At 46.6% G+C, this 24,922-nt stretch overlaps 1 protein-coding gene across 13 annotated transcripts in view, besides 3 other annotated features; it reads right to left on the reverse strand.

Moving 5' to 3' along the window:
* Positions 1 to 18,263: 18,263 nt before the first annotated feature.
* Positions 18,264 to 24,922, reverse strand: part of RALGAPA2 (Ral GTPase activating protein catalytic subunit alpha 2) — a 323,115-nt gene continuing 316,456 nt past the window's right edge. For 9 of the 13 annotated variants that reach the window (XM_011529310.3, XM_005260768.3, NM_020343.4 and 6 more), the window contains one exon: positions 18,264 to 21,987. In XM_011529310.3, coding sequence (XP_011527612.1) covers positions 21,833 to 21,987 — 155 coding nt within the window. In that variant the 3' untranslated portion in view covers positions 18,264 to 21,832. Of the gene's footprint in view, positions 21,988 to 22,244; positions 23,883 to 24,922 lie in introns of all 13 variants that reach the window. The other 4 variants (XR_007067471.1, XR_001754352.2, XR_007067470.1 and 1 more) reach the window with 3 other exon arrangements.
* Positions 21,524 to 22,723: an enhancer, noted in NCBI's record as "CDK7 strongly-dependent group 2 enhancer chr20:20373434-20374633 (GRCh37/hg19 assembly coordinates)". NCBI's record gives its function as "activates an origin of replication core promoter dependent on BRD2, BRD4, P300/CBP, MED14 and CDK7 cofactors, with strong dependence on CDK7, by STARR-seq in HCT116 cells {active_cell/tissue: HCT116}" and the evidence as "EXISTENCE:reporter gene assay evidence [ECO:0000049][PMID:35650434]".
* Positions 23,518 to 24,062: an enhancer, noted in NCBI's record as "H3K4me1 hESC enhancer chr20:20375428-20375972 (GRCh37/hg19 assembly coordinates)". NCBI's record gives its function as "activates a minimal SCP1, AML or CMV promoter by ChIP-STARR-seq in naive H9 embryonic stem cells {active_cell/tissue: H9 hESC(naive)}" and the evidence as "EXISTENCE:reporter gene assay evidence [ECO:0000049][PMID:30033119]".
* Positions 24,063 to 24,606: an enhancer, noted in NCBI's record as "H3K4me1 hESC enhancer chr20:20375973-20376516 (GRCh37/hg19 assembly coordinates)". NCBI's record gives its function as "activates a minimal SCP1, AML or CMV promoter by ChIP-STARR-seq in naive and primed H9 embryonic stem cells {active_cell/tissue: H9 hESC(naive and primed)}" and the evidence as "EXISTENCE:reporter gene assay evidence [ECO:0000049][PMID:30033119]".

A 24,922-nucleotide genomic window follows, 5' to 3' on the forward strand; every position in this document is an offset into this window, starting at 1 on the left:
ACTTTCATTTAGCAAGTCCTTCATTCCCAAAAATTTGGGGCTCAGGGTGATAGTAATTCCTCAGATAAATAAAGTGGGTAGTTTTTGTTCACGACAAGAAAGGAGAAATGACTTTACCGTCAGATTTGCAAAGCACGGGCAGCAACCCGATTCACATTTGGATGCAATGGGAAGTTAAGCAACTGGGGGCAAGGGCTTAGAAATAATTTTCCAATCAGGTGAGCAGTCTGTTTGGGGGGAAAATGGAACACCATCTGTTTGGGGTATTAAATTTAATAACAGGTAATTACAATGTTTTCCATTATGTGTCACTCAGCTCTTTCAAGAACAATTCTGACTCTCACCAGTGAATATTTTGGGTTGTTTTCCTCTGTCTTGGAAACATCTCATGAAGGAGCTGTGCTAAATCTCACAATTGTGCATGTGTGTGTTCCCTTCCTTTTGTGTGTTTTTGCTGCCTTTTTTTTTTTCCTGAGGTCCGCTAAAGCTAACATTTGCCTGCCAAAGAGATTTTAGAAATCTGCACAGTAAAGGGATTTGCATCTCCAAAGAAGAGCTGGAATGAGGCTGGGAAGGGCAGTCCATGAGGAACTTGGAAGGACAAACTGAGGAAAGAGATCATTTTCAGATTGTGAGCCTCAAGTTTTCTGTGGGACGGGGTTTAGCTAGCAGGCTCAGCTAGCAGGAATGTGGAATATTCCTCCCTTTGTGAGGGTCTGGAAACAGCCTTCGAATAACAATGAAGGAGAAACCTCTACAGGTAAGTTGCCTCCAGGACAAATTGCATGGAGCTTTTTATCACTGATGACTACATATTTTACCAGTTTGGAAAATAAAAGAACAAAAAGCTCAGGGCTGGTACAATAGGAAAGCACAGGGACAGAGCAGCATTTATAACATCCTAAAAACTTTAAACGAAACAAAGAAAAACTCAAATGTGTGGGTTGATGGCTGCTGCTTCTCCCCTCCTGCAACAGTAATACTGGAGAATGGGAGCATTGAAAATATTCTCTCTGAGTTACACCAAACATTAAAAGATACCCCAAACTGAGGGTCAGTGTATGCACGTTCTGTGGCAATAAAGTTTCCTTAAAAACTGGAAGATTGGCCGCACATGGGGAGTCCAGACTCGTCTGCAGGAATGGTAGCTTGTAACTATGTTGGGCTCACTGTGGTTCTCGTCTGTAATCACAAAAACATGAATTCATCTAAGATCCACCTTCATGAGGGTAAATATAATTTGGTTGTTCACAAACATGTTCCTTCATCCCCTGTATAAATTTATTTCAATGGAATAAATGGAACCCGAAACATCTATGTGAGATATTAAATGAAACTGTATAGTAAATGGAGTTGAAGGCAATGAAACAGCGTAGAAATAGAAAAACTTGGTCAATTTTTATCACGGTAACACAATATGAGTTAGCAGAATATAGGAAGGGAATCAGGCTCTCTCCCCTTTTGCTTGCCTCCCTGGATAATACGTTCACAAGGTTCCCATTCGAGAACATCACGTTGAAACGCACACACTTTTTAACAAATCTGTGAAGGAGGCTGTAGGCATTCCGTGTGTTCTGGGGCTGCTGCAAGCTGGGAAGGCCATCCGTGGAAACTGCCCGAGAATTCCCTACCATCCCACAGCAAGGATTTGGTGGTGAGAGGCCCAGGGGGTCAGGAAAAGTAGTAAGGTTAAGGAGGGAGGAGCTAAAAGAGGGAAGAAATAAAGGAAGAGATTTGATTTTTGCCAGTGCCTTCACCCTTCTCTACTTCCATACAAATGTGGTATAATAAAAAGCAAAAGGCTGTTCAGCATTCCTTTGGTTCCACAATGAGCCTGTGGCTAGAACAGCTGCACGCCACGCTGGTTGAGCCCTTTCTCCAGAGTTACTATGTCCTCTCGAAGCAGCTTCCCCTGTTGCCTGCTTTGCTTTTTCCCTGGAGGCCTGGAAACGCTGGGGTTCTTGCCGCCCTCGGAGCAGGCACGTTGTACTGGCAAGAGTTTGACTTGTGTGACTCACTCGGAGGCCTGTGCTTCGAGGCACGCCTTCCTTCTGTGTAGCACCATGGACTAAGTGATCGCACCTTTCAGCTGATCCTGGGCCTGTCACTGGGTTCAATCTGGGAGTACCCAGATCTTGCAGAGCAGAAATGAAGCCAGGAGCCTGGCTGGACTCCAGCTGCACAAGGGCACCTGTCGGCATGTTGGGGTCCTGCAGAGACCTGGGTGTGCAACATCGGCCAGGGCAACACTAGCCACAGGTGGATGCGCCTAGCACGTCCGTGCCCAGATGCTGCCGAGGAGGGTGTGACATTTCTCATCAGCTTCCCTTTGCTCTGTGAGTAGCTATCTCCTCCCCCAGTTGGGCTGAACTCCACAGCCATCCACAGAGTCTTCAAAACAAAGCAGAAGCGTCTCCTAACCACCCTGAGTGACCTGATAACACTACAGGAATTCTTCATGTATCAACTGTCTTGCAAAAGAGACAGGGGCCTCATATAAGGTTGGGCTTTCTGAAGTTGAGTCAGTTGACTTCCTGAAAGCGTCAGTCTCCTCATCTGTAAACCAGAGATCATACTCCTGGCAGATGCCCTGAGGGTCTCTGGAGCCTTTGTGGGACATTTGGGAAAGATTCCTGAGCCCAGGAGATGAAGGGCAGTGAGGAGCCCAGAGGGACCTGCATTTTTCGCTTAGACAGGGGCACTCCTCTTTGCCAGAAGTACTGTTCCATGGCATTGAGGATTCGTTACATACCCACTGGCCTGTGGCAGGGTTACTTTGAGCGAAACTTGCTTTTTGCAGAACGGACATTCAGGTCTTGTAGAAAAATTTTCTGGCAAATAGACCCAAGGCGAAGTCTATGGAATCATATATGGGATAAGATGAGTCCCCCAGTTAGCTTCTTACAGAGCTAGAATTAGTTACGGTTCTTTGATGGTCAGACTAAAGGAATTTGTAATGCTCTGGTAGTTAAAGTTACAGACGATGGAATTTAGAGATCGAAGAGGAAACTGAGTTGTAGAGAGAAATCCACAGGTGGCAAAACATACCAGTGTGAGAACCAACTGAATAGCAACATGCAGGGATCTTGATTCCATTTAATCGTCAAGGAGGTACCAAAGCGGGGAGTTCAAAGTGGCGACCTAAAGACACTCAGCTTCTCATCTTCAATGATGGAAACATCTCATGGGTCTTTTGGCAACACAACCCCAAATAGCCCCAAAATCCCACCCAGGCGGGAAAGATAGCAGCTGAAGGCATCTTCAAGTTCCATCCCATCATATCTATTGGAGAAACATCGTTTCTCTACTGCCTGCCTGCAACATTAAATGACCAATACTCATAGGGAAAGTCTGGTGAACTCATGACTCCTGGGTTCTAATATGGCAATTGTCACTAGCAGGCACATCAGCAACACAAAGACAAGTTCAGCAGTGGAGGTGGCTCTATAACTTAAGGAGACCTGGTCACAAGTCCCCCAAGAGCCCAGTGATCCTAGAATAAAGAACTCTTCACAAACATGCAGAGCCAGAAGACCATCCTCTGAAGGGCTGCAGCCTAGAGTTCCTCGTGTCCCCTCGCACCTTCATCAGCTAAGGTTTCCAAGTGAGGCCAGGTATGTTGACTCTTCAGGAAGAAGGGACCAGAGATGGATGGCACCTGCTTGCCCAGTGATCTCGATGACTAGGGACTGGGGAACTACAGCCTCCTTCTGACACTGCTAAGGAAACAGATCAATACTTTTCAACATCCCCTCACCTTTTGCAAACAACCAGCTACAGGTTTTGGTGTCATCAGGGCAACTTCCCAGGCAAGAGGATTTTCTGAAGATGATTGAGTCCTGCTTCTTTGGACACATCCCTCATGAGGACCTGCAGGAGGAAATTAACACAGGCCACATTGGGTTTTGAAAGTCACAGAGCCTCATGAGAAGGGTCAACCCAGCAAGGGATGTGCGATGGACCTTTGGGGTGAAGGGAATTGATTTCTCATAGCTAGATGAGATAATCAAACTGGCTTACAAATTTACCAATCACAACTACTTTTTGGTCATTATTAAGGCTTGATATGCTTCTCAGAATCACAGAGCACCTTTGAGCATATGATATGGAGTCAGTTAACACGTTTTCACTAACCCAAACACACTCCTTCGTATCTTAAGCCCCTACCGTCATCATTTGTACCCCGCATACTTGGATTGTGGGCTTGCTGTGTAGCATCTGGAAAGTGGAATGTCCAGGACCTGCTGCTTCCTTCTGGCAGTGTATATGCTGAGCAGATGGGTTCTGGGGTGATCGCCTTCGTGTTTGTCTTGTTTGAAGATTTCTATCCTGTGTGGTCTTCCTGGTGGTATTTCCACACAAGCATCAGCACTAACGTTTTTTCTCTAGTTCCTCGCATAAGCTCACACCACGGAGACAAACCATCCTTAGAACATTCAACATTCACCGCATTGAAACGAAACTTACAGAATGTTCACTGCCAGCAGGACACATTCAAAGGCATGATTACTGAGAGCCTGTTTCCAGCATGCCATGTGCACGCCCTGCAGCTCCCCCAATGTCTATGAGAAGCTTATTTGCACAATTTGCCTCTAGTTTCCCAGAGCTGCCTCCCCTTCATCAGAACCCAGGCGTCCCCTGCTCCTTCCCTGTGGTTTGAACCAGCAGACCAAGCATTGCGCAGCAGGGAGACAATAATGCTGGCAACGTCAACCTGAATTCATTCTTCTTCTCTTTCACTCGTCAAAGAAGGGCCTTTTATTTGAATGCAACATCTGCTTCGTCTCTGTTGTGCAAGACCAGGGCCCTGATGCAATGCCCCCTTCTCAAACACCACAGCCAGGTGACAGTCACACCTGACGGTGACAGGATGAAGAGAGGGAGCCAAGAGGCTATTATGTGTCAAATCTGATAGGATGCAGAGGAGGCGTTACAGCATGGAAGGGTGGGTTTTAGAGGAGGGCGCTTTCCACAGGAGGAAAAAACATCAGGCTACAGTTTCCTCCCAGCATAAAGAACAGAAAAGGATGGGGAAGTTAGGCTGTAACACATGTGTCCAGTGTTGCCATTTAAAAGCTTGTAACATCAATCGATTGCAGTTCTTTTCTACTGCTATTTATCAACTACAGTATGTAAAACGAGCCTTTACCATTTTATGAGTACAGCTACAAGGAGATTGTTATTAGGAGATGGGCAGAAACCAATAGGAAAGGTGCGCATGAGAATGATCAGGTTGAGACTGCCCAGGACAAAGGCGGCTGGATCAATCAAATCTGGGTGCCCAATTTGGAACAGAATCATGTTAGATTTCATCAAATATTTTATACCATAAAGGAACACATTCTGTTTTCCTCACGTTTGGAATAGATCTTTATTGTGTCTTTTGAAACATTATGTTTTTTGTTCTGTTAATCACAGAGAAAACCATGTTTTCCCCTCAGTATTTTCAAAATTTGGTAATTCAGATTAAAAAGGACAAAAAACAATTAAATGCATATTAGACCTACCTTAACTTATTTGTAGCAGTAAATGTGACCTTACATTCTAAGATTATATTGGGATTCCAGAATTACTGCCATCATTGCAGTATTTCACAATCTCTATTATTATTATTATAACAGAAAAGGCTAGACTAGGGGTTGGTAAACTAAGGCCTACTGGCTCAATCCAGCCTGCTTTTGTAAATAAAGTTTTATTGGCATATAGCCATGTTCACTCACATACTCAGCCTCTATGGCTGTTTTCATGCGACAGCAGCAGAGTTTAGTAGTTATGATAGAGGCCACGTGGCCTTCAAAGCCTAAAATATTTACTATTCGCCCCTTTATAGAAAAAGTTTGCCGACAAAATATCATGCAATAGACAATAAAATAGTGCAGTAATTCCTCCCCTTGATTAGATAGAAATTTTGTCCTTATGAAGACTGCTTTGCTCAGTTGTGTGTTGCGCGTCATAAACTCACTCAGCATTCATAAGTCTTGAAAATTGCAAAATTTAGTATCACTGTTTTTACAGGTGTCACTGCCTAAGGTACCATGTTTTTTGTTTTTTGGATTTTTTTTTTTTTTTTTGAGACAGTCTCACTGTGTCACCCAGGCTGGAGTGCAGTGATGCGATCTTGGCTCACTGCAACCTTCGCCTCCCTGGCTCAAGTGACCCTCCCACCTCAGTCTCCTGAGTAGCTGGGACTGCAGGCATGTGCCACTACATCCGGCTAATTTTTGTATTTTTTTTAAGTAGAAATGGGGTTTCACCATGATGGCCAGGCTGGTCTCGAATTCCTGGCCTCAAGTGATCCACCTGCCTCGACCCCCTGAAGTGCTGGGATTACAGGCATGAACCACCATGCCTGGCCAAGGTGCCATGTTTTTTTAACCTGATTTTTGTTTTTGTTTTTGTTTTTTTTGAGACAGGGTCTCACTCTGTCACCCAGGCTGGAGTGCAGTGCCATGATCATGGCTTACTGTGGCCTTAATCTCCTGGGCTCAAGTGATTCGCTTGTCTCAGCCTTCTGAGTAGCTGAGATGACAGGTCCACACCACCATGCCTGGCTAATTTTTATTTCCTGTAGAGATGGGGGTTTCACTATGTTACCCAGGCTGGTCTCGAACTCCTGGGCTCAAGCAATCTTCCTACCTTGACCTCTGAAAGTGCTGGGATTACAGGTGTGGGCCACCACACCTGGCCCTGATAATTTAAATAAGGAAGTTTACTAGTTTTTCTGAAAGTTGGAAACGGCTTCCAAGATAGTTTTATTAATATTGTTCCTGTTCATATCAGTTACAGGAACTCTCAGACAACACACACAAATCACAATCTGTTAAGTCAGCCACAGAAATCTACACAGAACAGGAGGGTTATCTCCTGGTTTGAAAGTTGTTTTCTCACTGCAGTGATGGTTTAATTTGTCAGGTGAAGTCACAACTCTTAGGTTGAACCATAGGACATTGCTGTTTTTTTTGTTTTTTTTTTTTTGTTTTTTTTTTTGAGACAGGATCTCACTCTGTTGCCTGGGCTGAAGTGCAGTGGCACAATCTCAGTTCACTGCAACCTCCGCTTCCCAGGTTTGAGTGATTCTTGTGCCTCAGCCTCCTGAGTAGCTGGGATTACAGGTGTGTGCCACCACGTCTGGCTTTTTTTTTTTTTTTTTTTTTTTTGTATTTTTAGTAGAGATGGGGTTTCACTATGTTGCCCAGGCTGGTCTCCAACTCCTGGCCTCAAGTGATCTGCCCGCCTCAGCCTCCCAAAGTGCTGGGATTACAAGTGTGAGTGCTTGGCTCATTGCTGTTTTTATAAGTAAAAATAAAAACTTTGCTATCAATAATTTTATATGGCTTAACCTAACATTTCAAGGATTTTTGTAAACATTAACTTAAAAATTGAGTTAAAGACAGAATATAACTTTAACTCAGAATTGAATTGTTTCAAAAGTGTGTTAATTTAATAGCAACAAGCACCTTCCTGGCAACTGATGACCTCTTTTAATTGTGCTAGCGTTTGAGCATTTGGAGGATATAGATCAATGTCCACCAATGAGAATTCTGCTCTGATTAGAGGTTCACAACCATTACTTGAAACTTTTTTCTAAAGCAGGTTTCTGACCCTGTCCCATGAGCATCTCCCTTACAGTGGTGCTGGTGGACAACGTGTTGTACTTCTGTAGTATGTATCATTTAGAGCCCTGCCACTCAAAGTGTGGCTCAAGGACCTGTAAGTCCACATCCCCTGGGAGCAGAAGTGCCAGCCATGCTTCGGGCCTCCTAAGTCAGAATCTGTATTTTAACAGGATCCCCAGGGAATCTCTATGTCCGTTGATGTTTTACAGGCACTGGTTAAAAATTTGAGGTCTTGGTCATAGAGTAAGTTCTCCCAGTTGTTGCCCCAGTAAATTTGGCCTCGGAAGGGTTGATGGCTTGGGCACCAACCCAGGGACGCTAACCCCAACTCACGATGGGTTCATAACAATGCTAACAGACTAAATTCATATTAACATTTTAAGGATGTTTGGTAGCAATTCATTAAAAATTGAGTTAAAGACAGAAGATAACTTTAACTCAGCAACTTTAGCTGACCAACTTTGCGTGGTCCAAGGTCTTCATATGAATTACTCAGTGAGTTCTCACAATGCCTCCAAGAGGTTGGAGCCGTCATTACCCTGTGTAACATCTGAAGAAATGGAAGGCCCTGTGAAATGATGTGGGCTGAAAGTGCGGAAATTTAGTTGAGATCAAGAAAGTTCATAAAGAGAAACCTCCAAGGCAGCAATTGCTCCAGTGTGGGAGAATTCAAATGGACAGTGAAATACCGGGGCCTTGGTTCCACCTACTTGTCAAGGGGCTCCTACAGCAGGGAGTGCAATACGGTGGCCCAGGAACATGTATGGTTCTCAGTCCAGACCGTGAAACAGTTGATTTGTGCTTTGGCAATTTGACTCCAAAATAATGGGCTGAAAGTCCCATCCGGGAGAGAGAGCGAGAAGCCAAATGTAACATCATTTCCAGTTATTTCTTATCTTACGCATTGGAGAAACTTGTTATTTCTACATGACCCAACTTGCAAACACAAATAACAGATGCTGGCGAGAGAACTGGGTAAATTTAGTACTGCGTGATGTTAACTACGGCTCACACTGGTATCTGCGTCGTAGCAGATTCTAGATTCGACACCACTTTTTGCTTTGCTTTAACGTGCTGCAGATGCAAACTGTAAGAGAGGCAAGAATTCACTGTGAATGGTGGCGTCGTAAGCAGCTCCACAGTGAGGATATTGCTGAAAGTTAGCTTGCCCGGGCCACTTTCTTTTTTTTCTTTTTCTTTTTTCTTCTTTCTTTTTTTCTTTTCTTTTTTTTTTTTTTTTTTTTTTTTTTTTTTGAGACCGAGTCTTGCTCTGTCACCCAGGCTGGAGTGCAATGGCTCGATCTTGGCTCACTGCAACCTCCACCTCCCCAGTTCAAGTGACTCTCCTGCCTCAGCCTCCCGAGTAGCTAGGATTACAGGCGCACGCCACCATGCGCCTGCCACCACGTGCCCAGGCCACGTTCTATTGAGGTCTCTACCTTCCACTTTGGTTCTAAAAGCACTTGTTTGTAGAAATCACTTACTATTCTACACCTGCAAGCAACTGAATAGGCCATTCCAGAACCATGGCAACCAGCATGAGTGGCAGAAGGAAAAGTCTCTGAGCACAGGGTTTCAGGCTCTCCCTGCCCACTTTTAACATCAGGGCAGCAGAGGGACTCAAATGGGCTGGACCTAAACCCTAACTCTGAGATGCAAAGTCTAGTAATATTTAACAAAATGATTCAATTAAAAATTTAATTTTATATCTCAAAGAGAGTGCCAATGTTTCAGCTTCAGGAAGTGACAGATTTTGATAATCCTAGCAGGTCACTCTCTCTTCCGCCGTGGTGAGATTTCATGTGCTCACATGCAAAAGAACCCAGCCCCTTCTCCAGCATGCTGGGGCTGTTAGGGGCCAGGGGTTTGGAGCACAAACGCCTGCTTTCATCATTTCATCGCCACCATTTTTGGGTGGCCATGGGCAAGTTATTAACCCTCTCTGCCTGTTTTCTCACTGATAAAATTAGGAAAGAGTAGTGCCCACCTGTAGCAGACATTTACTATGTTTTCTGCCTGCCCCATGCCTTTTGAATACCCTTCTTATGCTCAGCTAATTCTCTATCCAATGAGTTCTGCCTCCTTAAGGTAGAATCCAGAAACTTGCTTTTCCAGCCTCCCTTGCAGCTAGGCTCTGCTGTAAGGGAATGGAAAATGTGCTGTGCATTAAGACCAATGTCCAACAGAAAGGAGTCAGGTCACCCTGACTCGGATTGGAGGTGCCTGACCACTCATCAAATGTGCCCCTGAGATGTGGATCCAGAAGAGAGACATGAAAGAGGTGGCACTGGGTGCAGTCAGTGCTGGGGAGGGGAGAGCAGAGGCATTTGTCTCTTGGAGGTGGCTGTGGTGAAGGCCCAGCGTTGTAAGGTGAGCTGCCACTGCACTTCTCTAGCAGGGCAATTTGAGTGTTGTTTCTAGATCTTTTAGTCACAAAGCCTGATTGTGTGGCCCTCCTGGACATAAAGCAAGGTAGCCAAGAGCCTTTAATAAATTATTTATCTCCTTCAGCTGGCTAAAGTGGATTTGGCTGTCTGCAACTAAGTGTCTCCCAAGGCCACTGTTGAGATTAAATGAGTTACTGAGGTCAAGTGCTGGTGAGAACTCACTCTTATTACCCTTGCAAGGATAGGAGTGAATTCTGATTTTATTTTACTTTTTATTTATTTATTTTTTTGAGGCGGAGTTTCACTCTTGTTGCCCAGGCTGGAGTGTAATGGCACGAACTCGGCTCACTACAACCACCCGCCTCCTGAGTCCAAGTGATTCTCCTGCCTCAGCCTCCTGAGTAGCTGGGATTACAGGTACCCACCACCATGCCCAGCTAATTTTTTGTATTTTTGGTAGAGATGGGGGTTTCACTATGTTGGCCAGGCTGGTCTCAAACTCCTGACCTCAGGCAATCCACCCGCCTTGGCCTCCCAAAGTGCTGGGATTACAGGTGTGAGCCACTGCACCCGGCTGAACACTGATTTTAAATTGTATATAATCTCAATGCCACCTGGTGTAGGTTTAAAAACACTTCTGCAAACCCTTTGACATGCCTCCCATTGTGAAGTGAAGTCTTACCTCCCTCACTGCCCCCTCCAAAACTAAGAGGGCCTTTGTGACGCTTTCTCAAATAAAAAGCAGTAGAAGTGACACTGTGTGACTTCTGAGACTAGGCTAGAAAAGGCCAAGCTCAAGCTACACACAGAGTCCACATTTAGGTGTTCTACTGAGGCCGAGCTAAGATCTCAGTCAACGACCAAGCCCCAGACATTTGGGGGAGCAGGTGAGCCCCTAAGATGATGCCAGCCCCCTCTACCCTAACATTTGCATGAGACAGCCCAGGTGGGAACAGCCCAGCTGGGCCTGCTCACCCCCCAGAGCTGTGTGAGACTGTAATAAAATGATAGTGGTTGTTTTTAGCCACTGAGTTTTGGGGTGATTTGTTATGTAGCAATAGACAACTGATATTTATTACTGATTCATTAGCAATAGATAACTGATATCAGGAACACACCTGATATCAGTTTTTCAGTGCTCTCTGGCTTTTAGACTGCCTGAGTGTGAATTTTTATTTTTGCTCCAGGGTCTCACTCTGTCACCCAGACTGGAGTGCAGTGGTATGAACATGGTTCACTGTAGCCTTGACCTCTGGGCCTCAAGCAATCCTCCCACCTCAGCCTCCCCTACAGCTGGGACCACAGGTACGTACCACCATGCCCAGCTAATGTTTTATTTTTTGTAGCGATGGGTGGGGGGGGTCTCACTTTGTTGCCCAGGCTGGTCTCGAACCGCCGGGCTCAGGTGATTCTCCCACCTTGGCCTCCTACAGTGTTAGGATTACATGCGTGAGCCACTATGCCCGGCCTGCATGTGAATTTTTCCATTTGGCCTTCACAACAATCCTTTATAGATTATGATTCATTGATTTGTATATTAAGAAAAGTCTGAATGTTGAATGCCTTGCCCTCAATCAGAAGGCTCTTCATCTAAGACATAGAGAGCAGAACCCAGGTGTCTGGCTCCTTGATGTAGCCCTCCACAAAATGAGGTGGTCTCGGTTCACTAGTAGAATGCACTGTTGTATGTAAATGCCTTCTGTACATTGTCTTGAAAACAACCATTAGGTCAATGTCCCAAGCACTATGACTGTGTAACAACAGATCTCCCCAAAACTGAGCATTTACAACAACAACAGAGATTTATTATATCTAATTATTTGTGTGGGTCAGGAATTCAGTAGCAGCCTGGCTTGGTGGTTCTGGCTTGGGGTCCTTCATGAAGTTACACTGAGTTTTCCACTGGGGCTGCAGTCAAGTGAAGGGTTGATTGGGGCTGGAGGATCTATTTCCAAGATGGCTCCCTCACATGGATGCTGGTCTCTATAGCACTGCTTGAGTGTCCTGACAGCATGGTGGCTCTCTCCAAAGCAAGCCATCCAGGAGACCAAAGTGGAAACTGTAATACCTTTATGACTAATCTTGGAAGATATATCACTTTTGCTGAGTTCCATTGGTCCCACAGGTCATCTCTGAATCAGCATGTAAAGGACCACGCATAGGTATGAATTCCAGGAGGTGATGATTGCTGGGGCAATCCTTGAGGTTGGCTACCACAATCAGTACTATCGCCCCAAGTCCCAGGTGAGGAAATGAGCCAGAATGACTAGGGAATGGCCGCTCAAGAGTGTGTGCAGGTGGAATCGGAAGCCAACACTGATTCCTAGGACCACGTTCCTCTCCAATCTATGACACAAGGTGAATTTGTGGTGTATTTTGATGCATTTATGTTAGTATTTTCAAAAATTTCTTCAAAATTGAGAAATTCTTTGGAACATTATCATGAAAAGACATACGGTGTGGGCACACTGATTGGGAGTCCTCACTTTGGTCAACAAATGCCTCGTTTTGTCATGGCTGAAATTATGCCTTTTTCCTGGGTGCCCCTTAAAATTTTTCTTTTCTTTTCTTAAGCTGTTGGGTAATTTACTGAGTTATCCTATACAAACATGGGAAAACATGGGTCCTAGCTTCATTTTTAAATATAACTCCAAAACCGACTTTATAGAATTCAAAAGTGGTCAAATAATCAATCTATTAGGACTATAATGACTGTCTCAGTTAGCTTGTGCTGCCGTTAACAAAATACCATAGACTGAGTGGCTTAAACTTAAAATAATAGGAATGGCGTGAACAACAGGAATTTATCTTTCACAGTTCTGGAGGCTGGAAAGTCTAAGATCAAGGAGTGGGCTGATTTGGTTCTCCAGTGAAGACCTCCTTCCTGGCTTGCAGACAGCAGCCTCCTCCCTGTGTCCTCACATGGCAGAGAGAGAGAAGCTCTGGTCTCTCTTCTTCTAAGAGCACTAATCCCACCATGGAGACCCCATCCCCAGGACCTCATCGCAACCCAGTCACTTCCCAAAGATCCCACCTCCTAGTAAACACTGGGGGTTAGGGCTTCAACATATGGGTTTCGGGAAGACACAAACATTCAGTCCATAACAATGACATATACTCTCTGACTCAGTAATTTCATTTTTTTTTGGAAATTTATCATACAGAAATAAAAGCAGCAGTGTGTCAGGATATAGGCGTGCTGGTGTTTATTACAGGTGTCTTTGTTATGACAAACACTGGAAGCCACCTTAATGCACAGATGGGCTGAGTAAATTAAGGTACATCTGTATTAAGGAATAAAATGCAACTACGGAAAATGATAAACTAGATGGAGGGGTGCCTATGACACTGTAAAGTTTAACAAGGATGTTGTAGAATAATGTGTATTGTATGATGCTATTTCTATGTCTTTGCATTAATCTGGAAAGAATGTTCCTTTTTTTTTTTTTGGAGACAGAGTTTCACTCTGTCACCCGGGCTGGAATGCAGTGGTGCAGTCTCAGCTCACCGCAACCTCCGCCTCCCGGGTTTGAGCGATTCTCCTGCCTCAGCGTCCCGAGTAGTTGGGACTACAGGCATGAGCCACCACGCCCTGCTAATTTTTGTATTTTTAGTAGAGACAGTTTCACCATGTTGGCCAGGCTGGTCTCGAACTCCTGACCTCAAGTGATCCATCCGCTTTAGCCTCCCAAAATGCAGGATTCAGGCATGAGCCACTGCTCCCAGCTGAGAATGTTCTTTTGAATAACCTGCTTATCAGTCTTAGGGAGATGGGGGTTGGAATAGAGGCAGATCATTATTTTTAAGAGAAAAAAGTATAGAACACCCGATGTAATATACAAATTTGTACTTTGGCTATTTCATTAAAATCTTGATCATTAGTAAAAAAAAGAAAAAAAAAACCTTCCTTGATTAAAAGAAGCTCCTGATGTGAGTTTTCCCACCAGCATTTTACTCTCGCCTTTAGGTTGAAACTGTTCCAGGGGGTCACTTTTCCTGGTGCCTGAAACGAAGATCCAAGATTTCCCCAAAGAAAGCTATAGAAATAACTGTTTCCACTGGGCCCATAATCAGCCATCAACATGGAGGACAAAATGGGGTGACATTTTTTTAAAAGGAGAAGATGATACCATTAATGTACCGCCCTTGCTGGTTCCCACTGCTCCGAGACATTTGCCGCAGGCGCTCTGCAGGTCGGGCGGGAGGGAGACTGCTATTGAGGCCCTCTGCACTTAGCCCAGCGGCCATTTCTTAGGGAATATTGATCAAAAGTACTCTCCTCTATCATCTGAGGGGCATAATGCAGTCCCTGAGTATTCACGGAAAAAAGCTTTTCTTTGCCAGGCTATTTTCTAAAGTCAAAAAGATCCTTTCAGGATCTATAATAGCAAGCCCCTTCCCACCTCACGCCCTCAGTGAGAAGCACACTCCAATTTCCAGGCCCTGAGGACCCCACGCCAAGGAGGAAGCCGAGGGCTCTGACCTCTTCATGGAAAATATTCCTTGTCAAACTCAACAAGCATTTTCACGGGGGTGGGGGGAACATAAATGGAAGATTAGCAATGACACCTGACACATAAAAAAGTGCCCTCTTGTCCCAGAGATAATTTATGCATTTATTCTTTCTTTCCTAAAATAATGTTTGAATAGAATTTTGACCACATACGTAATGCTCTCTGATATCTGAGGTAGGAATATCTTGATATATAAATAGCAACAACGACAACAACAATCCGATCAGCGCTGTCCATGTCTGACATGGTACGGAGGGAGGATGCTAGCTGGGACCTACTTTCTCACTCTCATTCTGTGAAACACAAGATCTTCCAGACAAATACTGCCTGATGTGACAGCTTATTATAAATGTCTCGCTGCCCCCATCTTGTCCAACTTAGGACACTTAGGTATTAAAATACTTATAACTTAAAATTCTAACAATGACAAAAATGAAGCAATCGCCAATTCCAGCTATTTTTTTCTCATTATTCAGAAAGAGTGTCATTTTGGAGAGTTCCTGCTGTTTTTATCACTGCTGTTTGTGTGTGTTGGGGGCAGATCTGAGAGCACCTCGAGGGCAGAGAGGGTATCACTGCTGTTTGAAATGCACTGCCTAGCTGGGCTGCCGGCTGTTCTCTGCGGGTGAAAGTGCGGTTGAATCTGCAGCAGACTAAGAACAGACCTCGGTTTCGGAAGTGAGTCTCATTCTACTCCACTCAAGGTGGTTCTTGTGGCATGGAAGGACATTGATATGTCTTTATTGTCTCAAACTCCCGAAACAGAAAACATTTTCAGGAGAGAAACGAGACAATTTTGGCCAAACTGTATGTAGCAAGTGCTTGGTAAACGTGTGGATGTCTGAGTGCAGAGAGCAGACCATGGTCTTCCAGAGCGTGGCCGACCTGCCTGGGCATCACATCAAGCATGAAAAACCTGCTTTGGCTACCTGCTCTTACCTCAAAGTCTATTTTTCAGAGTTGAAGACGAGCAATTTTTCTTTCCAGAGGTTCCAGTCCATGGCTTCTGGAGCCAGAGAGAGGTTAACTCCAGCGTTTTCGTCTCTGCGTGTAGGGAGAGTAGGTAAGTCTCTTGTTAAAACAGGTTCTCCCACACTCCAAGCCCTTGGTCTGTGTTGTGCCTGGTCCCTATGACAGCAGGGTCAGGGTGGCCTAAGCCTTGGCATTAGGGGACCTTTACAGTGACCAAAAATGCACGTGGAAACTACATTTTCAACAAACAGTCCATGCACTGGTGAAGAACGGTGATTGCTGCTAAGTGGGGGTGACATCAAGAAGTGGGAACCGGCCGGGCGCGGTGGCTCACGCCTGTGATCCCAGCACTTTGGGAGGCCGAGGTGGGTGGATCACGAGGTCAGGAGATCGACACCTTCCTGGCTAACACAGTGAAACCCCGTCTCTACTAAAAATACAAAAAAATTAGCCTGGCGCGGTGGCGGGCGCCTCTAGTCCCAGCTGCTCGGGAGGCTGAGGCAGGAGAATGGCGTGAATCCGGGAGGCGGAGCTTGCGGTGAGCCGAGATCCTGCCACAGCACTCCAGCCCGGGCGACAGAGTGAGACTTCGTCTCAGAAAAAAAAAAAAAAAAAAAAAAGAAGTGGGAACCCAGAAACTCATCTCCTGCCTGGAGCCTCACTTTCTGACCTTGTGAATCTCAGTGAGCCAACGTCTTCCGGCCTCAGTTTTCATACCTGTAGAAGGTGGTCAGATTGTGGGGGTGGGGGCGACCTTTCCAGCTGTAGATCCGTGCCTTGAGTAAACCAAATATGCAGGGACAAAGTTTACTTTGTGCTCCATTTCCACGGCCTTCACTTTTTGGTTTGAAAAACAAAATGCAACTAAAACCATTTCCAGATATAGACAAAAGAGCAAATGATTAGTGTCCCTTGACATAAACGGTTTAATAAACCAAAGTGGCCTCAATTTAGTTTCTGCACATACACGGCACCATAATGCTAGCTTGAATGTGTACTGAAGTGAACAAATATCAGTGTGTGAGCCTCTCGCTGGAAGACACGCTTCACTGCAGGAGGCATAAATAACTGGCGCTTTTTTTTCTGAAACACTTAGACATAGTCAAGACCACTTGACTATGGTTAGGTGTACCTTAAAAATATTCTTTCTTTCAATTCTGGTACCTAGCAGAAGCCCCAAAAGACCTATCAGGGTCTTGTAACAATGGTCCTTTTGGAAGCACTGACTATGGTTAGGTGTACCTTAAAAATAGTCTTTCAATTCTGGCACCTAGCAGAAGCCCCAAAAGACCTGTCAGGGCCTTGTAACAATGGTCCTTTTGGAAGCACTGGAAGTTGGATTGTTCTTTGGAATTCTGCTGAAGGTTTGGCCTAATATGGCCCAAGATTTGATGAGTACTTTTTTAAGGTGACCTGATCACTTACAGGAGGCATGATGGACCAGAATGTCTCCCCACCCTCTCATCATTCTGCAAGAAATAAAATGTGTGGCAGAGAAAACGATTTGGTGAAAACAAAAACAAAGATATAAAAAAGTAAACTGTTTAAGACTTTGAGAACAATATCCTTTGAATTTCAAATAACCATGTCCATATCTGAGAAGTATCCCTGAATTATCCAGGGCGGGGGCATCTCCAGGGAGATTATCCAGGGAGTCCTGAGGGCCACCTATGACGCCGAGTCATTAGTGAGTGGCAGAAACGCAGCTCCTAGGAGCAGCTGTAGAGCAAAGAGCTGTCCTGCAGGTAGTGGTCTCTGATGTTCCCTCAGCGCAGGCAGGGGATGAATGCTGCCCAGACCATCGCTGATGGGGCTGGCCCAGATCTACCTGTAGGTCAGCGTCCTCTGGGTAGCTTTAAAAAGTGGAGATGCTGAGGTTCTAGCCCAGACCTGGTGGGTCAGAGTCTGTAGCAGACAGGAACCTGCATTTGACTTACACAGATTCTTCAACGCTGCTGACGCACAGGCTGGGACCCACTGTGTCCAAGCCACAAAGCTCTAAAACTCCACAACAAGCTTCATGTGATGAGGTACCAAGTATTAGAAGCAGGACGTACCATCAAGCAAGCTCTTGTTATCAGTGAAAAGCTAAACATTGAATTTAGGGTCTGCCTGACTCCCAGGAAGGCATCCAGACCATTTGTGAGGTCACAGCCATGTTTTGTAAGTATTAGGTACTCAAAATATTTGCTAACTGGACAAATGGATGATTTTTACAGACTTCTAATACAATGTCCTGAAAGGTCACTGCTGCCTAGCCCATGAGTAGCCCACGATGCTGGCAGAGGCCACCTGGCCAGGCTGTCATGCGAAGGCTGGGGTCTTTAGACGGGGGCATCAGCCCGGCTTCAGCCATACCACCAGGGGACTGTTACCACACCCTGTCTATCACTTACTCACACAGACAAGCCCTCTAAGGCTGTCTCCTGCTCATCAGGGATAGGGGCTCCTGACCGCTAGAAGGGTGGCTCGTATGGGGGCTGCCCTGGAGAGAGACGGAGCAAGGGGCACAGCTCATTGTGGGCTCGGATGGACGTTGCGGTAGCAGGTGATACTGACCCAGCCCTTTAATCATGAAGAGAGAAAGCGATTTAAGTAGATTAGAACCATGATGCTTGGATTCAGAGCCTCTTGTGACTGGATCTCAGCATTCCATGTTAGGAAACGAGGTGAATTTTACATAAACATGTTGGTAAGCTTCCCCGCATTGGTACCAGCTACCATTTTGGATACATGTTTAGGCTTTGGTTAAAATATGCTTTCACACAATTCTGTCCAATAAAAATGAAAGCCACCTTTTTATTAGATGCCAGGGTGAACTTTATTTTCTTATAAACTATAATGAGAATGAGAGAAACATATAGCACTGAAGTGCTGTGTTTCCACTTTATTAAATCATCACAGTAAATCAGAATTAAAGAGTAAAAGAGGTTAACTGGAGAGTCGGGTGGCTGCCATCAGTGGAGATGTGTGCTTTCTCGGTGTGGCTGCCTGGGCCGCGGTGTGTCCTGGTGCACACACGTCTGCAAGGTGTTCCCACCACCTAGGAAGGAACCTAGATGTGGAGCATTAGGAAAATTAAATAACAAGAGACAGCAAAATAAGAATCAAATGACACGCTATAACTTAATTTACCATATTTATCAAATTTTTTCCTTATTTACATGTACTAAACATTGTAGACCTGAAAACATAAGGAAACATTCACTTCATGTGTATGTCATATGGACAGACTGAGTGCAACTAAAACGATGGTTGTTTCATGTTGAATTTCCCTCGGATGCAGACGCTGCCCTTCAGTAGATATAAAGGTAGCACAGTTACATTTACGACATCACAGTTAGGTTTTAAAGGATTCATCAGACCTCCACATGACACCGATACAGCAGGTCCATGGGGCGCAGGTGGTGCCACCTGAGGAAGGTCAGGAAGACAGGATGTGCATGGCTCTGTGGATCTGCATGAGCTCTTGCTTGTAAGGCTGAGGGTCTGATCAATCAACCTATGTCACCAAGTTTGGGTCACCCCACTTCCCCAACATGTGGCTCTTAGGAACCGCAGACTTTGTTGCTGAGGCAACCCAGGCTAAATTTCTTCACTTCTGTCTGCTGAAGGCTTATTTTTAAAAAGTCATAATTTTTTAAAGTACGAAAGCCTAAGTACAATGAGACGATAAACATCAGCTTTGCTCTGGATGGAATCTGGGAATAGGTGTGCAGAGAAGTGAGGGAACTGGCCTGGCCCTGCCTGAGGCCAGCGAGTCTTACCACATTTTGGCCCAATTAGGGCCACTTCTGTTTCCAGATGGCTGACCTACTGGTACCACCGTGATGAGTCAGCGCTGTGCCTCAGGTGGGGCCCTAGTGGATGAATGATCCTCCGCAATTTTGCTGAAAGGGATTTATTACAAAAACACAATATTTGCTTTTCTAAGTAAAAAAAAAATAAAAAAGAAACTTGATCATTGCAATTTTCCACCCCAGATAACAAAAACAACTCCAGTCCACGTGATCACGAGAAACGTGGCTGTCAGATTCCCTGCTCCACGTTCCATCTCCAGACCAAAGCTGCTACTGAGAATGGCAGGCTCAAAAAACTCTAGTCACCAAACTGCTGGCTGTCATCGGGGGTCATGGGGTCGTTATAATCCTCAGGGGTTACAGGAGGGTTGAGTTATTTGCTGCCTACAATTGAATTTCCCACCCCAAGGTAGGGATCGCTGGTTCGTGAAAGCAAAATGAAATCATGGAGCAGAAGTCCAGGAGAGTTCAATACGATTTCTAAATCCTGACATATCTTTTCTACTAAAGCCAGCAATTCCGCAACAGGAGTTTCTAGAGCCTGAAGATGAAACGTTCTCCCAGAGGCGACCTGCTGGTAGAGACCTACAGGGGACTCTGGAGCCTAGGAGCATGCGATGGCCTTCCCAACAGGAGTGAGGTAAACAGGAGACAGGAGCAGCTCAACAGCAGGATCAAGCCTGAGTGATGGTGGCCAAGCTATGCTGCCCAGATGTCTGGAATCATTTAAAATAAAGGGGCATTTGCTGACACCACAGAAAATGCCAGGACTTGCAGTCACTCTTCACATTGCCCTTCAGCCCCCGTGAGTATCCTGGGCCCTTCCCAAAACGGCCCAGGGGCCAGAAGCTTCCTTCCACTTTGGGGCACCCTCATTCTCTTCTGTTCAGGTGGTTCTCAAGGTGCTCCTGTCAGTGGGCCTGGCCTGCAATCCCCTATAAAGCAGAAAAGCAAATTCTCGCCAGGATGAGCAGGCCCGCCCTTCCGACAGGAACGACTGGCTCAGCTCTTTCTCATTTGTCCCAAGAGTGAGTCTGGCTCCTGAGTCTCCCCGTTTTCCCTACAAAGGCCAGGTTCCAGCCAAACCAGCTCCATGGCAAATGGAAAAAACTGGCTCCTCAGTGAAAATGGCCGTTCTGATGGGGTGAGAGCCTCAGAAGGCTTCTTCAGGCCTGGGTGGCCAAGCAGCCTGAAGGTAACAAGTGTGTGCAAGGGCAGAGGGCAGAGGGCACAGGAAGGTGGGGAGGCCTCCCGCACAGGGCCCGCCTTTCCCAGGACCAGCCCACCCATCATAAGCCCTGAGTTAGGGGCTGCGTCTCTCGTGCTGCTGTCCCTTCCCACTGCAGGGCGTTGCTCTGTACCTGGCCGCTGTGAGAACAAAGCCTGCGCAGTGGCGATGGACTCTGGTAAGCTTCTTGGATTTACTTCCCAAGTGAAGTGCGGGGTGGAGCAAACCTCTAGCTCTGAGGCAGGTCAAGGGTCCAGGACACAGCCTGGGGCCTGCGCCAGCAGCTCTTCGCTGCTGACTGATTTCTCTGCTGCAGGACGGGCAAGGCCCACCCAGGGCGCCCCAGCAGGAGAGGGCTCACCATTGCTTCTCTTTTCATTCATTCATTCATTTTGTTTTTAAGAAAAAAAAACAACAACAACAAAAAAACAGGTCTAATAAGCCTTCCTTGGAGCCAAATGGGCAAAAATGTAAGGATTAAATCCCTCGCTTGGAATCGGCTACCAAAAGCTTTGTGTGACAAGAAACATTTCTGAGGCCTGTGTGAGGCCTCTCTGGGCAACAGACAGGAGCAGCAAAGTTGCAGCGTGAGGCTTTTGGAGGCACAAGGCCATTCGGGGGGTACCCGTCTCAGCCTAGCGCCTGAAGCCGGCATGCGCCTTTTGTGTGGATGTGGTCTGTGTTGTTTTGAGCCTTGGGACACTTCCTGTCCTGCAGGAACTTATGCAAGGACAGGACCCTGTATTTCTGGAATCTTCTGAGTGTTCTAAGATAGGGGCATCACTGTCATGACCTGAAGCGCCTCTGCGTGGTGAGGAGAGCCTCTGCTTAGTTAGCGGGCGTCAGGTACCATGTGGGAAAACACTGGACAACTGAGGTAAAACTTCTCCTGGGCAAAAGACCCCGGGGAAAGCCAATTTCCATGATGATGAAATTTTTGAGTAAACCATAAATCCTAACATAAAAGGAACTAGCAAAATCAATGCAGATCAGATTCCTCAATTAGACAATTGTTTTGCCAGCCCCTTTGTGAATCATGCTTGGGTTCATAAATGAGAAGAAACAACTTGGGGTGCAGAAGCAAGCTGCCCTCTGCCCCCTCCCTGAAAGCGCAGAATCTTTTCCTGCTGTCATCTGCCCAGAGCAGCCACACCAGTGCCCACGTGTCAGTGGGTTCATCTCTGGTTTTTGGTGACTTTTTCTTTTCTTCTTTGGAAGTCCAAGGTTTGTGAGGTTTCAGGACAAGATGATACAGCCTAGTTTGAGTCCCATCTGAGACACGGTAGTGGGATTCACCATGGGCTTCAGAAGTCCACTAATGGGAAGACCTGCTGAGGGCACTAGTACAGCAACGAAATTTCCTGGAGATTCTGGGTTTAGTGGCTCGGGGCAGAGGCAGGAGAGGGTGTTCTGTCTCCTCCTCACTCAGGGGCTCTTCGAGGTCAGCACTCAGACTGGAGGCCAGGGCCCCTGCAAAGGAAGCAGAGAACTGCTAAGTCATGGAGGCAACGGCGGCTCTACGGCCACACATTTCAGGGAGGATCTGTGGCACTCAGAAGGGAGGGAAACTCCCAGGAGAAGGGTCTGGTGACCTCCTCCCACGCTATGCCGGCAAAGATGTTTGTTGAATGAATAAACACATGAATGTCTTTCTTCTTATTCTTTGCCCTGGGCTTTTCTGCAGCATAAAAGAAGCTATGAATCTTGTGAAATTAATTCAGACTTACTGTCCAATTCATAAGTAAAGAATGAAGAGAAAAGGCATCTGGTCACAGTGAAAGGGAGGAAGAGCCACTGAAGAAGCAGTGGCTGGAGTCAATGGAAAAGCCCGTGAAACTTCAGAGGCCGCTCTGCAGATCCCTGGCGGTGTTCCTGGAATCTCCACGTGTTTACATATCGATATTCTACACAATGAGTTACAACTCGATTATTCCCCAAAGGGTCTAAGACTAGAGGTCAGTCCTAAATTGCTTGTCTGAATGAGTCCAGATGAGCATACAGCTGTTCATCACTGGAGGGAAAAGGAATAAAATTAAAACCTGCACATCTGCACCCCCCGCTTCCCCAGGGCTGCTGTCGGTGTGCTCAGAGGAATACAAGAATGCCTGCTGCAACACCAAGCCACTGTTGCGGGTGGAGCTGGGTCTCCCCTAGCACCGTTCTGCGAGCGAGAGGATCATTTCATCACCCTTCCCCTCGTAGTGTATTTTTAAACCCTGTTGTATTATGCCCCAAGTTTCCTGCATGACCTCTGCTGGGAACCAACCTCAGAAGCAGAGTTTCCACATCTTCCTCCCTGCGTGATTCACTTGCAGGGCTTTGGCCTTTGAAATTATTATTATTATTGGCATTTGAAATTAATTTAAGTCAGTTATTTTATTCACAGACGCATCTTTTTTCATTCTCTGACCTTCCCTTATTGTTTCTAGGAGGAGTTTCCAAAATCAATACTTGCAAACGTGCTTGGACCTATGGAGGCAGCCTGGCTCAGGGTGTCCTGAAATTCAGTACTTTCAGAGTCCAGGGGCTTCATGGTTGCCTCCCTTCTTCTAGGCTCAGTCAGGTCGGGCATACAGAGAAGGCTCACTATTCTCATCTTTAAAACAGGCTGCAGCCGGGCGCGGTGGGCGGATCGCTTCAGCCCAGGAGTTCCAGACCAGCCTGGGAAACACAGTGAAACCCCGTCTCTACAAAAACATTGCAAAACTTATCCAGGCATGGTGGTGCGCACCTGTAGTCCCAGCTACTTGGGAGGCTGAGGTGAGAGGATTTTGAGCCTGGGAGGTCAAGGCTGCAGTGATGGCTTCACTGCACTCCAGCTTAGGTGACAAAGTGAGACCCAGTCTCAAAAAAAAAACACCACACATGAAAAACCTCAGAACACAAAAACAGGCTGCTTCTGACAAAGGCAGCACAGCTAGACCATCATCCACAAGAGAAGCTAGATTGTTACAAGGCATCTCTCCATCCCCTCGCAGCTGGTGGTGGGCACTGGCATTTAATCCAGGGTGTGGGGCAGCATGGGAGAACAGACTTGATTTAATCCCAGACAATATTCCAACAGCCCAGCCCACTATGGTAATCAGATTGATTCTAATAAATAAGCAAAAAAAAAAAAAAAAAAAAAGGCAAGTAAATGAAAGATATAAAGTGAGATCCAAAGAGAAAGAGCGAACCTTTGCTAATTCTGGATTCGAAGGAAAACATTTTAGTTCCTCTGCCCCACCCACTCACCCAGGGAGGATAAAGAGGGAAAGAGGGGTGCACCTCGAGTTCCTGCAGATGGACAGAGGAATGCCAGCTTTGTCCCGCTGAGTGAGCCTGGAGAACAGCAGGAAGCTCTGCAGAGAAGGGGGCCTGTGCACCTGAAAGCAGGGATCCCATGGCCAGGGGCAAAGGGCAAAGCCACCCCTGCAGCTGGGCTGCAGCCAGTGCCACAGTGCCCTACACAGGCCTCTGGTCCCCAGCTTTCTGCTGGGACATTCTCATCTGCACTGGGCCCTCGTGCCACAGCACCCCGTGGTGGGGAGGTGGCAGCTGCAGGACAGGTAGGCGGGACACAAGGTACGGCCGCCTTCCTGATATGACACGTCCACTCGCAGCTTTGCTCCACTCGCACTGCCTCCTCCCGGTGATGGAAGCCAAGGATTTATTCACAGGACACTCGAACCTCACCTCCCCACTTTGGCGGCAGGAGCAGGAGGACATGCATGGAGACGGGGGTCTCGGCAAATGCGAAGTTTTGCAGCAAGGTGCCCTGCTGGGAGGGGACTGTACAACCCTTCTCTGCCCCATCTTGACATGAGCACCTGGGCTCTGAGGCTCGTGTCACCTGTTGGGGCTGACACGAGTGAGCCCAGTTTGGGACAATATCAGGACTGGGCTTAAGCCTTGGGTGAGGGGAAGAGAAAGGGCAGCTGGCTGGAGGGTCGGCTGGCTGTGATGCTGGCTGCTCCTCTGGCCTGCAGGTCCAACAGCCCTGCCTAGCAGAGGAGGGTGAAGGTTTGGATAAACCAACAAATCTGGACCCTAACATCCCACTTCCATATTTACTGAGACAAAGTGACTGGTGTCTGTGCCTTGCATTCCACTGTGGGCGACAGGCTCAGGAACGGCAGCTCGCTCACTTGCTTTCTCCTGTGAATGGCATTGCCGTGATCCTTGTCATTACCAACTGCTCGCCTTCCGCCTGTGAGCCTGGGAGGTGGTGCAGCCCAGGCCACACGGGACAGGGTTTTCAGACAGCCTTGCCAAGGCGGCTGCCATCCATCAGAGCGCTCTGGGCAGGGCCTGGACCCCAGACCCAGGACAGAAAGGCAGGCTGGGGAGGTCACACCTGCCATGGCCAGCCTATCCTCTGGGTCCTAGACCGCAGCCCATTCCTAGGTCTCCACCCTCTGCGCTC

This window comes from Homo sapiens, chromosome 20, assembly GCF_000001405.40.
Source record: "Homo sapiens chromosome 20, GRCh38.p14 Primary Assembly".
NCBI lineage: Eukaryota > Metazoa > Chordata > Mammalia > Primates > Hominidae > Homo > Homo sapiens.